Raw genomic sequence first — 14,016 nt, forward strand, 5'->3', positions numbered from 1 at the left:
AATATCTCCTGTATCATTTCTGATTGGGTTTATTTGGATCTTCTCTTTTTCTTCTTTATTAGTGTATGTAGAGGTCTATCTATTTTATTAATTTTTTCAAAAAACCAGCTCCTGGATTTGTTGATTTTTTTGAATGATTTTTCATGTCTCTGTCTCCTTCAGTTCTGCTCTGATTTTGGTTATTTATTGTCTTCTGCTAGCTTTGGGATTTATTTGTTCTTGGTTCTCTAGTTCTTTTAGTTGTGATGTTAGGTTGCTAACTTGAGATCTTTCTAATTTTTTGATGTGGATGTTTAGTGCTATAAATTTCCCTCTTAACACTGCCTAATCTGCGTCCCAGAGATTCTGGTATGTTGTCTCTTTGTTCTCACTGGTTTCAAAGAACTTCTTGATTTCTGCCCTAATTTCATTATTTACCCAAAAGTCATTCAGGAGCAAGTTATTCAATTTACATGTAATTGTATGGTTTTGAGTAAACTTCTTAATCTTGAGTCCTAATTTGGTTATGCTGTGGTCTGAGAGACTGTTATGATTACAATTCTTTTGCATTTGCTGAGGAAAATTTTACCGTTGATTATGTGATCAATTTTAGAGTAAGTGCAATGTGGTGATGCAAAGAAAGTATATTCTGTTGTTTTGGGGTGAGGAGATCTCTAGATATCTATCAGGTCCATTTGGTCTAGGGCTGAGTTCAGGTCTTGAATATCTTTGTTAATTTTCTGTCTCAGTGATCTGTCTAAGATTGTCAGTGGGCTGTTAAAGTCTCCCACTATTATTATGCGGGAGTCTAAGTCTCTTTGAAGGTCTCTTAGAACTTGCTTTTTGAATCTGGGTGCTCCTGTGTTGGGTGTATATATATTTAGCATATTTAGATCTTCTTGTTGAATTGAACCCTTTACTCTTATACAATGTCCTTTTTTGTCTTTTTTGATCTTTGTTGGTTTAAAGTCTGTTTTGTGAGAAACTAGGATTGCAATCCTTGCTTTTTTTCTGTTTTCCATTTGCTTGACAGATTTTCCTCCATCCCTTTATTTTGAGCCTATGTGTGTCACTGAATGTGGGATAGGTCTCTTGAAGACAGCAGGCCAATGGGTCTTGGTTCTTTATCTAGCTTGCTACTCTGTGTCTTTTAAGTGGGGCAGTTAGCCCATTTACCTTTAAGGTTAATATTGATATGTGTGGATTTTATCCTGTCATCATAATCTTAGCTGGTTATTTTGCAGTTTTTATGTGGTTGCTTTTTTTAAAATTTTATTATTATTATACTTGCAGTTTTAGGGTACATGTGCACAATGTGCAGGTTTGCTACATATGTATACATGTGCCATGTTGGTGTGCTGCACCCATTAAGTCATCATTTAGCATTAGGCATATCTCCTAATGCTATCCCTCCCCGCTCCCCCAACCCCACAACAGTCCCCAGTGTGTGATGTTCCCCTTCCTGTGTCCATGTGTTCTCATTGTTCAATTCCCACCTATGAGTGAGAAATCATGCTGCTATAAAGACACATGCACACGTATGTTTATTGTGGCACTATTCACAATAGCAAAGGCTTGGAACCAACCCAAATGTCCAACAATGATAGACTGGATTAAGAAAATGTTGCACATATATACCATGGAATACTATGCAGCCATAAAAAATGATGAGTTCATGTCCTTTGTAGGGACATGGATGAAACTGGAAACCATCATTCTCAGCAAACTATCGCAAGGACAAAAAACCAAACACTGTATGTGGTTGCTTTATAGTGTCACTGGTCTGTGTACTTCAGTGTGTTTTTGTAGTGGTTGGTAACAGCCTTTTCTTTCCACATTTAGTGTTTCCTTTGGGAGCTCCTGTAAGGCAGATCTTGTAACAAATTCCCTCAGGATATAAAGGATCTTATTTCTCTGCTTATGAAGCTTAATTTGGCTGGATATGAAATTCTTGGTTGGAATTTCATTTCTTTAAGAATGCTGAATATTGGGTCCCAATCTCCTTTGGCTTATAAGCTTTCTGTTGAGAGGTCCACTATTTGTCTGATAGGCTTCCCTTTGTAGGTGACCTGGCCTTTCTCTCTAGCTACATTTTTCCTTTCATTTTGACCTTGGAGAATCTGATGATTATGTGTCTTGGGGATGATGTTCTCGTGGAGTGTCTTACTGGGGTTCTCCACATTTCCTGAATTTGAATGTTGGCCTATTTAGTTAGGTTGGGGAAGTTCTCATGGATATCATAAAATATGTTTTCTTAATTGGTTCCATTCTCCCCGTCTCTTTGGTAAACCAATCAGTCATAGATTCGGTCTTTATGTAATCCTATGTTTCTTGGAGGTTTTTTTCATGTTCACGTCTTTTGATTCTTTTTTCTCTATTCTTGTCTGCCTGTCTTATTTCAGAAAGACAGTCTTCGGGCTCGAGATTATCTCCTCCACTTGGTCTATCCTGCTATTAATACTGTGAATACATTATAAAATTATTGTATTGTGTTTTTCAGCTCTATCAATTCAGTTACAGTCTACTCTATACTAGCTATTTTATCTGTCAGCCTCTGGAATGTCTTATCACCATTTTTAGCTTCCTTGCATTGGGTTACAACATGCTCCTTTGGCTCAGTGAAGTTTGTTTTTATCCATATTTTGAATTCTACTTCTGTCATTTCAGCTATCTCAGCCTTAGCCCAGTTCCAAACCCTTGCTGGAGAGGTAATACGGTCATTTGGAGGCAAGAGTCAGCCACCTTGGCCCTAAATGGCCCACTGTATTCTTTCCTGTTCAGTCCATTCCACTCCACTCTGTTCCATTCTGTTTTGGAGGAGAGACCAATCTGAATGTGCCCAGAGACTTGTTTTCTTTCCTTTTAGCTTAGTAGAGAGCTGGCTCAGCAGATCTTAGTCATGCAATGAAAGAGCAGGGCTGAGCTCCATAGTCTCCTCATCATTTCCTCAAGCAGGCAGCCCCTGCAGCTACATGGTTCCTCAATGTAAGTATGCAGAGTGTCATGTGTGTCATGGGGTATATCTATAACTACAGATTCACTTGCTGGGTACATCCAGTTCAGTCAACTCAGCAGGATAACGAGAGCCTAGGAATAGGATCTCATGCACATTACTCTTTCTCTGCTTGTGCATTTTTTTCCCCGCAAATCCTATTTTGTATTTACGTTGCATGGTAATGGTGGGAGGTGTATTTGTGTCCCCTTTGCATGCCAATTTCATTTTAAGAAGGACTGTTAGCCTCATCAAATCAAAAGTGTTATATCCCACAGCTTAAAAAAAAAGCCCCTCTGATCCAGCTAGTTGTACCCTTACTGGAAGCAATATGACAAGAAAACCTGAAGCACTTGTTTGGAGCACAATTCCCTGGATGAGAAGAATTGTGCTCTTCCTTTACATTTGTTAATTCTCAAAAGGGAGCTTGGCCAATGGATCTTGTGGCAAAGAAAGCTTAATTTCTGCTTTTGGTCAAGCCAATCCACATACATTTTTGTTCACCTGCATGTGGGTCCAAGACTACATTTCAGTGAGCTCCTGTCATCTGAGACTCTCAGCTGGGGCAGGGCTGTGCATGCATAGCAAAGCCACCCGGGGAGATGCTTCTGCCTACACTTGTCTCACCAGGGGTAGGATTCAAAATATCTAGTAATGGGTCTGAAGACAGATGCTTGCTGGAATAATGGAGAAAGGCCTTGCTTTGCCAGGCATTCACGGAGTTCATTTGCTGGGTCATAGAAAAGTGGGAAAGGGGCTGCTGTCATGAGGGTGAGAGCTGGGAGCATAGGCTGTTTACCTTGCTGTCTCTCCTCCTGGGGAGCTTGTGCCCCACACACATCCTCCACCTCTGGCAAACTGTGAGACACATCAGAATTGGCTGGAGAGGGGTGTTAGGAAGAGGTTCATCAGGTGTTTCTGGCTTGTCCCTCCTGACTCCAGTGATGAGGACCCCCGTTGCAGAGCAATAAAACACTACCCAAAATGGGGAGAAGCCTTCTCCCACTCTGTAATTGGGTCGTCTTGGCCAAAGAATGTAGATTATAGTGTGGAATGGAGAAAACTGTGGGAATCAGTTGTGGCAGGTGAGGGTAAGGAAGCAAAATGAGAGTTTTGAAAAAAGTTCTTCATGTCCTTCTGCCACTTTGAGTCCTATGGTAAGGTACCTTGAAAATGTGTGTCTTATCCTCAGCACTACTGACATTTGGGGCTGGTAATTCTTTGTTGTTGGGGGCTGTCCTATGCATCATGGAATAGTTAGCAACAACCCTGGCCTCTACACACCAGTTGCTAATAATATTCCTCCGACTTCTACTGTGACAGTAAATAATGGCTCCAGGCTGGACGTGGTGGCTCATGCCTATAATCCCAACACATTGGGAGGCTGAGGTGGGAGGATGTCTTGAGGCCAGAGGTTTGAGAGCAGCCTGGGCAACACAGTGAGACCCTCATGTCTACAAAAAATAATTAAAAAAAATAAGCCAGGCATAGTGGGGCATGCCTGTAGTCCTGGCTACACCAGAGGCTGAGGCAGGAGGATTGCTTGAGCCCAAGAGTTTTAGGCTGCAGTGAACTATGGTTGTGCCATTGCACTTTAGCCTGGGACACAGAGCACAAACAACCCTTTTTCTAAATAAACAAGCAACCCCCCCTTTCCCTGCCAAAAAGCCAAAAAATGGCTCTAGAGCTTGTCAAATGTTCCCTGGGGGCAAAATCATCCTTGGTTGAGAATCAATCATTGCTTTAGATTATGAATACTTTCCTGTGTCCCCATCATTTTATTTTTTTGTCGAAGGGTCAAACCCTTTTGTTTTTCATACATAATAACATGGAAACACTTAATAATGTCCATACTTTTGATTTTTTTTTTTTTTTGAGACAGGGTTTTGCTTTTGTTGCCCAGGCTGAGAGTGCAATGGTGTGATCTTGGTTCACCGCAACCTCCACCTCCCAGGTTCAAGCAATTCTCCTGCCTCAGCCTCCCAAGCAAATGGGATTACAGGCGTGCGCCACCACACCCGGCTAATTTTGTATTTTTAGTAGAGATGAGGTTTCTCCATGTTGGTCAGGCTGGTCTCGAGCTCCCAACCTCAGGTGATCCACCCACCTTGGCCTCCCAAAGTGCTGGGATTACAGGCATGAGCCACTGTGCCTGGCCTGATGTATGTTTTATTATTTTGCTTTGCATCACTATAAAAAAATCCCTGGGCCTGGGTAATTTATAAAGAAGTTTAATTGGCTTATGGTTCTGCAGGCTGTACATGAAGCACAGTGCTGGCATCTGCTTCTGGTGAGGGCCGCAGGAGGATTACAATCATGGCAGAAGGCGAAATGGGAGCCAGCACATCACATGGTGAGAGCAGGAGCCAGAGAGGGAGGGAGGAGACAGGCCCCTTTAAACTACCAGATCTCGCATGAACTAACAGAGACAGAACTCGCTTATTTCCATGGGGACACATCAAACCATTCATGAGAGATCCAGCGTAGTAATTAAAGAGATGCAATTCTTTTTTTTTTTTTCTTTCATTGCCTTGGTAAGACCACCAGAGAGAAGACTGTTAGAAAGAGTTACTAGATGATGAAAAAATGGAGGTTCTACTGGATATTGATTAAAGAGCAATGCTTCGATGCTTAACTTCATAATTTATTAACAAATAAGGATCAACAGCAATATATTAAAAAGTCTTAGGTGTTTCCAAGGTCAGTGTTAGTGATGGAGTCCACACTGAGCCCTTTTCAGAAATGAAATATGGAAAAGTTTACATGGCCTTATTCAACACACTCTCAATTCAGTGTCAGCTTGCCCCATTCCTTGTCCTGTTCTTGGCTAGGTTTCTCTTCCCTCCTTCCAAACAATGTTTGCTGGGAGATGCAAAGTACTTTATCCTAAACAAAACATAATGGAGGAAAGGGAAGCAACTGGGAAAATAATAGTAATCAAATGACGCATTCCCAAGCTTTTGGATGCTCTGGTGTTTTGAATGATCATGCCCTGGTGCCCTCCTCTGGTAAGCAATTGAAAGCTGGCTGGGGGGAGGGCGTTTGCTGACCTTAGAAGCACAGAACCACTCAGAGAGAACGGAATGCCTTTTGTATCCAAGGAACAAACAGTAGTTAGCCTCTCAGCACTTAACAGCCACAGTGAGGTGAAGGTTACCAGAGAAAGCTGGAAAAAATATTGTAAGATTTGCTGGGAAACCTCAATTATCAAAGCTGTTTGGATTACACAAAAAGGAATTAATTTTTTTTCGAGGAGTGTGATTTTTCTTTCTTTCTTTTTTATTGGTACCCATTTCTTGTTGCTCCTTTCTTCTATTAAACATGTACATGCATGTGTGTATACACACACACACACACACACACACACACACACACTAATTTCTGCTGAATCTGCATTTTCTGTCCTGAAACGTAGGGAGATGGAATGGGCCAGCCTTTGCCCAAGTTCTGTCTGCTCAAGATGAGCTCTGTCTTATCAGATATTTCTGTCTACATATTACTTACTCCTGATATCTGCTACAAAAAAATAGGAATTTGAAAATATCTTTCAAAATATCTTTTTTTAAAATAAGACTGCGTAGGATTAATTTTCCCCCATAACAGAGTATTATATACCTGCCTACCTTAGAAAAACTTGAATTTAAACAAAAGAAAGTGGAAAGGAGAAAAAGAAAAGAGAGTGAATGAGAGACAGAGAGAGAAACAGACAGAGAGAGACTGAGGAGGAGCCTATGTAGGTTTCTACCATCTCAAGGTGACCGCCAATAGGCCTTTGATAAACGTTGTATGGTACAGAGTTTTGCAGTTGATATAACATATTGGAGGCTAACCTCATTTATCTTCGCTCCCTTTGTATTCTCAGCAGAGCCTAGTACAAAGTAAGAGCTCTATAAATATTTGTTGAATGTTAATTATTTTTACTGTAATTGTATGTTACTTAAAATGAACTAGTGAATAAAAGGAATTGGCCAGCCACAAGTAGGATCACAGAATGCTGTAAGCAATCATTTTGGCTAACTCTTCATTTATTGAGGAGGGGCATCAGGCGTGGAGCTCTTTAGATACTTGCCAAGGTCTAAAGTGGCAGAGCCAGTAGACAGACCCACCTCTTTGAATCCCAGTATTTTCATAATCAATCATTTATAATCTAAAATCCTTCTGATTGCAGCTTCTCAGAAATGCCAAATGATGTTTGTTTATTTAAAATCACTTTTATCCTTTAAGCTTCCAAGAAAGTTTGAAGATAAAGGCAACATTTGTCTTTGAATTTCCCTTTATCATTGGTTTTAAGGCCTTACAGCACATCCTATTCACTCTTGGGGATTAAAAAAATTCAGATGCCCAGGTCATTACCCACATTTCCTGAATCAGAATGTCCAGGACCCAGATACTGATATTTTAAGAAACACCTCCCAGGTGATTATAATACTCAGTGATTATAATACTCAGTGATGTTGGGAACCACTGCTCTGGATAGTAAACTTTCTTTCTTTGACAGTAGTTCCAAAGTCCACTTCCCACTGAGCTGAATTTGATGTTCTCACTCTTTGTGAAAATGTCATACCATCATAACATTCCATGACTTTCCATCAGGTTGGTACATTATTAGGGTGTATAAATGGAAACTTTCTTTGACTTTTTTGGTGAAGTCAACAAAAACCAACTTCCAATATTTATTCTCCTCTCTTTCTTCATGAAAGTTTTCTGCTGCTCCATGTGGCTGCTCCACAAAAAACCACACCTCCAGCCTCTTTTGTGCCTAGCTTTAGCCATGTGACTTGGTCTGGCCAATGGGATGTGAAAGAAAGTAATCTGTGTAAATTTGGATTGCACCTTTAAAAGAAAAGAAACTTGCCCTCCCTTTCTCTCATTCCTACTTGATTCATGCCAACTCTCATCGAGACTATTATGTGACAGAGAAATAAACATCTATCTTATTTAAGTCCCTGTAGTTTCGTCCCTTGTTGCAGCTCAACTAGTGCAACAGTCTGATAAAGTCTAAATTATAACTCTGGATTTCCTGGATCTCATTTCCTTTGTTTATTACCCATGACATAACACATAATGAAGTCTTTCAGGGCTAGAATCAAGTCTCTGGCATTTTTTTCTAGTTCTGAAAGCCTGACAATGCTAGCCACACCTATCTATCCAATAACTATATGTCAACCAATGCCAGTCTGTCTACACACCAAAATAAAAAAAAAGGGGGACATACAATTTCATTCTAAGACAGTGATATGAATCATAGAAGGACATCGTGACTGAGATGATCACTCAGTCATAGAAATCCATATTCTCTTCTTCTGGAGCACACAGTTGAATTACATTTCCCGGCTTCTCTGCATCTAGGGGTGGCCGCATGACTGAATTTTTGGTTCATTCTGTTAGATCAATATATCTTTAAATCTCTTTACCTGCATTCACATTGTTTACCACTCTAACTTCTGTTTCTATCTTTCTTCTCTACTTAGGTTAACTTCCCTTGGAGTCCACCAAAATTGGTGTTCTTAAAATCAACCTCATGCTTCCTCTAAATTGAGAAACGCTTTTCCCCACTGCGTCCTGTCACCCTATCACAATGTTCCAGCCATGTCCAACATTCATCTTTGGGTTGCATTTAGAGAGAAACTGTTGATTCAGAAAACTAAGTTCACACTAATGTGCGTGCTTTCTACTTCCAATTAATTTTTCGTTGTTCTTTTCTGCAGTATTGTTTTTATATACTTCTTATTTCCAGCCTGTCTTGGGCTGTATGCCACATTTCCGGCCTTGGGAAAAGTATGTCTGAAAGAGCATAGGAATATCTTTTACAACATTCTGCTTTCTCTGACAACATAATGCCAGCTGCAATCTTTGTTTCTGTTTGTTCTTCAATTGTCCTTAGAGTAGGAGCATTTGTGTATTTCTAACTTGGGTATTCTCTTCCATTGTCAGATGCCAATTATAGCGTATGTTGGTGGAACTAAAACTAAAACATGTAACCAAATCAATGAATGCTCATTAATAAAATGGAAAGTACAAAACTTGAAGCATAGGTATCATTTCTAGCAGCTTACTTCTTTGCAAAATAAAAGATCGACTGTGTAAGGAGGTACTCATGTTAGTGCCCAGCATACAGTTTTAAATGTCAGATGCTCATAAAGTGGCCTTCAAAACTCATTTTGCCTATATACAGACTAATTTTGTCAGAGTGTGAATTTACTTTGCCTGCTGCTAACAGAAGAAATCTCAACTCTTTAATGTGGCCCACCTCGATCTACCCCCACTGGGGTGTCCAGGCTACTTCCGCAACATTGCCTGGGTGCCTCTCTGTTCACCTTCACCTAAGGATACTACTGGTATTATTTAGGGTAACACAAGCTCCTGTCACAAGTAGACCCCAATGCAGAATGATTCAAACACAGTAGAAGTTCATATATGTTTTACTCACTAAAGAATCCAACGTAGGTGCTCCTGGTAGGCAGGAGAGCTCTCCTCCATGAGGTCTAGTCGAGAGTCAAACTGATGAGAGCTCTGCGGTCTTCAGCACGCAGCATCCAGAGCTGCCCTGGTCATCTTTGTTCCAGCCAGTTAGAGGGTAAACTGGACAGAAAGCCCATGTGAGGGGTTTCTGGGCCAGCCCCGTCAGTCATCACTTCTAATCATATTCCATTAGCTAGAATTTTTAGAAGGGTGGCCATACTGAATTGCACAGGAGTTTTAGGAAAGATAATCTGGCCAAGTGTAGAAGAAGAGGAAATGGATAATTGTGAACAGCTAGTAGCTTTTGCTACACACTCTTTTATGACTCTGTCCTTTTGCTCATACAACTTCTTTAGTCTACTTAGTTTTCAAGATCTAGCTCAAAAGCAACCTCTTTGTCTAAGCCTCCTAGTTGCAATGACTTGTTCCTTCCTCTGTCTTCCATCTTGAACCTCTGTTATGGCCACTTTTGAATTCTACTTTGTGCTCTGTTAGTTTTTTATACATTGGCCTTACTCACTTAACTGTGAGCTCCTTTAGCACACCACCATATTGCGGTGGGGGAAAGCAGAGGTGTGGGGGTCACACAGGAATGGCTTTAAATCAGCTGTGCTACTTTTTAGCTGTGAGACCTTGATCAAGTCACTTTCTCTGTCTTCTCATTTTCCTCACCTAAAGAACGTGAGTAATACTGCATAGTGTGGTAGGAAGGGCTAACTGAGATAATACTTGAAACTTCCCGATGGGATTTCGTAAGAATAAATTCTCTGTAGATGTTAATGTTGCAGCCCTTTGCCTCTTCTATAGTGATTTTTCCCTTCATTGGCATTTAAAAAGATGCAGCTGAATTGAGCTCTGAGTCCTCTGCCTTCACAGCACTACAGTAGCAGAGGTTCAAGTCAAGAGCATGAACTACTAGTATATCCAGCATGGGCAATAGAGGCGAGGACAGAAGGAAGCCACTTGGAATAGCGTCAATATGTTAGCTATGTAGGCGTTCACTCAGCTCTGGAGGACTCATCGCCTGCTTAACGAATTGTGTTAACTCCAGCCAAGCTTGCAGCTGCCTCTGATGACCTTTGAGAATTGCTGTACACCAAGCAGCGGCTGCTTCATTGCAGATAAGGCCAGAGGCAGCAAGCAGAGCTCAAGCCAGGGCTGCCCCAGGTGACCCATTTAAGCCTCTGCCAAGAGCTACTGGGGCACTGGAGTGAGAAGAGAGGGGTTAGGGGAAACTAGATACCAAGAAAATGGCAGAAAATGCGTCACAGATGATTTTACCCAGTATTGTTTACTCTGATGCCTATCCCTGTTCAGGCGCTTTGGAAAGTACTATTTTAGCCTCAGGCATTTGCCTGGGTGAGGTGGAAAAAAGAAGACGAAAGGATGTAGACCTTTGCTGGCTTATTGTTGTTGCATCTTTAATTTTCCCCAAGTGAGATATTTCAGTATTATACTGGAATAGGTATCCATCCCGAGCTGAAGAGCCATGTGGAGCAGTGGTTAAGAGCAGGGCAGTGGAGCCAGGCCACCTGGTTTGACTAGCATCCTCACAACTTTTTCCCCCAGCTTTTCTGTGTAATTGACAAATAAAAATTGTATATATTCAAGGTGTACAAAGTGATGTTTTGATATATATGTACACTGCATACATATATAATACATACACTTATTTATGAATACATATACATACATTCATGCATACATCATGAAATGATGTATACAATCAAGCTAATTAACATCTCCATCACCTCACATAGTTAGTAGCTTTTTTTATGATGAGAATCCCTAAGATCTTCTCTTTTAGTAAATTTCAAGTGTACAGTGCATTATTATTAACTATAGTCACCATGCTGTACATTAGATATCCAGAACTTGTTCATTCTGTCTGACTGAATATTTGTACCCCTTTACAACATCTTCCCATTTCCTCCACTCCCAGCCCCTGGAAACTGCCATTATACTCTCAGTTTCTATAAGTTTAACATGTATATATTCCAAATGAATGAGATCATGCAGTATTTGTGTTTCTGTGTCTGGCTTATTTTACTTAGCATAATATTGTCCAGATTTATCCGTGTTGTTGCAAATGACAAGATTTCCTTCTTTGTAAAGGCTGAATAATATTCTAGTGTGTTTGTGTCTGTGTGTATACATACATATATATACCACATTTATATAGACACACCACATTTTCTTCATTCATTCATTCATTCATTCATTCATTCATTCATCTATAGGCATTTAGGTTCTTTCCATATCTTAGGTATTGTGAATAATGCTGCAATGAACAGGGGAGTGCAGAGATTTCTTTGACATACTGTTTCATTTCCTTTGGATATATACCCAAAAGTAGGATTGCTGGTTCACAAGGGAGTTCTAGCTTTAATTTTTTGAGGATCCTTCATACTGTTTTTCATAATGGCTGTACCAATTTACACTCCCACCAACAGTGTGCAAAGTTTCCCTTTTCTCCACATCCTCACCAACACTTGTTACCTCTTATGTTTTTGATCATAGCTTTTCTAACAGGTGTGAGGTGATGTCTCATGGTGGTTTGAATTTGCATTTCTCTGATGATGAGCGATGTTGAGCACCTTTTCATATACCTGTTAACTGTTTGTATGTCTTTGGAAAACTGTTTATTCAGGTTCTTTGTCCATTGTAAAATCAGAACATTTGTTTTTGCTTTTGCTTTTGCTATTGAGTTGTATGAGTTCCTTATACAGTTTAGATGTTAACCCCTTATTGCACATATAGTTCGCAAATATTTTCTCCTATTCCGCAGGTTGCAAACTTACAGCTTACATGTTGTATAACTTCGCATCACCAAATTGCTCTGTGCCTCAGCTTCCTCATGTGCAGAGTGGGCCTAATTAATTATCTGATGGAACTGTTTTAGGATTGCATGTGTTAATATATATAAAAGACTTAGATCAGGGCCAATGGTAATTGGGGTATAAATGTTTGTTAGGTAATATTTATATGTATACGAACCAAACAAAAAAACATTTCTCTCCTTTCCTCATCATTTTCCACAGCTAGTTTTATTACACTTCCTGAAGATTAAGAGCCTCCAAACACTTCAGTGGTTACAACAGTTGATTTGACTGTCCCCTAAAAATTCATGTGGAAATTTAGTGGCCAATTGACAGTATTGAGAAATGGTGCCTTTATGATTTGATTAAGTCATAAGGCCCCACCCTTATGAATGGATGAAGGTCATTATCCTGGGAGTGGGCTAATCACCTCAGGAGTGAGCCCCTGATAAAAAGGATGAGTTCAGCCTGATTTCCTGTCTTTCTATCCCACATGCTCACTTCTGCATTCCACCTTTCTTCCATGGGATTGCCCTTGCCAGATGCTGGCACCATGCTCTTGGACTTCTCAGCCCCTAGAAATGTGAGAAATAAATGGATTTTCTTTATAAATTAACCGATCTGTGGTATTCTGTTATAGCTGGACAGAAAGGACTAAGACAGGTTCAGACCTGTTTGGTGGATTAGATGTGTTTATGGCTGTGTAAAGGAATCTCAAGAGGGTTTTTGTCGAGGCAGGGAAGAAAGTTGAGAGATAACTTACCACATGGAAGCCAGAGTCTGGCTTGACTAGAAGATGAATTTTTGAGGTTCAGAGAGGAGTAGATTCCAGGTACAGGGTGGTGGCTGTACTCAAACCTATTCTGTCTGGCTATTGTGGCAGGGGGAGAAAACCACCTATTTGTAAACCGAGAGATACATCAGGGCCCAATGAGTCCTCCTTTGGTATCTGCTGATGGAACGTACTGCAGAGGAAGGGAGGTCCTTCCAGTGTCACAGGGGACTGCTGAGTACTCACAGGGCACTGAGGGCTGAGGGGCTGGTTTCCATGGTGACCAGCAGAGATGTGGGTCCAGGCTGGGGAAGATGGAGGATCCTGCTGAGCAGTTGAGACCCACTTGGCCAGCTCAGTTGCTAGTGGTAGCCAGGATGCATTCATGTCACATGTTGGCTTGTCTGAAAGCAGATGCCAAGATGGAGATTGGTCTGCAGGATATTTACTAGGAATCAACAACTTTGGAAGGACAGAGGGGAAGAAGCAGGACTGGGCAGACAGAGAAGTTAAATAAACTTCAATACAGGCCCAATAATAACTCGACCAGCCCCTTTGGGAGCTCTGGACTGCATGTGCCTGCCAGAGTTGTTCCGAGTGAGCTAATATGGTTGGACCTTTACATCCACCCCCATCAGTCACTGGGTGTGGGCTGTGCCAGGAAAGGAGCATCTCTCTGTAGCTAAGGCAGATTTGGAGGGAGCTAAGCACTGAGATGAGTACTCCCTTTGAGGGGATCTGGGTGTCAAATTTCCGTGTCCACCACAGCTCATCCAGCCACAGGAGGGGAATCTCAGTGATGCTGGAAGAGGGGTGGGAACTCTTCCAAGGCCTGGTGTTCCTATATTAGCAAGTAGGGTTTTGAAGCTGATGAAATGTGTGCGATTAATATTATTGTGACCTTGTTCATACCCATGCCCTGGTGTGGTATGGAGACATTCCAGTTTTTACATGTTAACTGCACACTTTATAATAAAAATAATAGAAATAAT

The 14,016-nt window shown here is 40.9% G+C and overlaps 1 annotated feature.

Moving 5' to 3' along the window:
- Positions 5,781-6,337: an enhancer, noted in NCBI's record as "OCT4-NANOG hESC enhancer chr4:58131975-58132531 (GRCh37/hg19 assembly coordinates)". NCBI's record gives its function as "activates a minimal SCP1, AML or CMV promoter by ChIP-STARR-seq in primed H9 embryonic stem cells {active_cell/tissue: H9 hESC(primed)}" and the evidence as "EXISTENCE:reporter gene assay evidence [ECO:0000049][PMID:30033119]".

Source organism: Homo sapiens, chromosome 4 (genome assembly GCF_000001405.40).
Source record: "Homo sapiens chromosome 4, GRCh38.p14 Primary Assembly".
Lineage (NCBI taxonomy): Eukaryota > Metazoa > Chordata > Mammalia > Primates > Hominidae > Homo > Homo sapiens.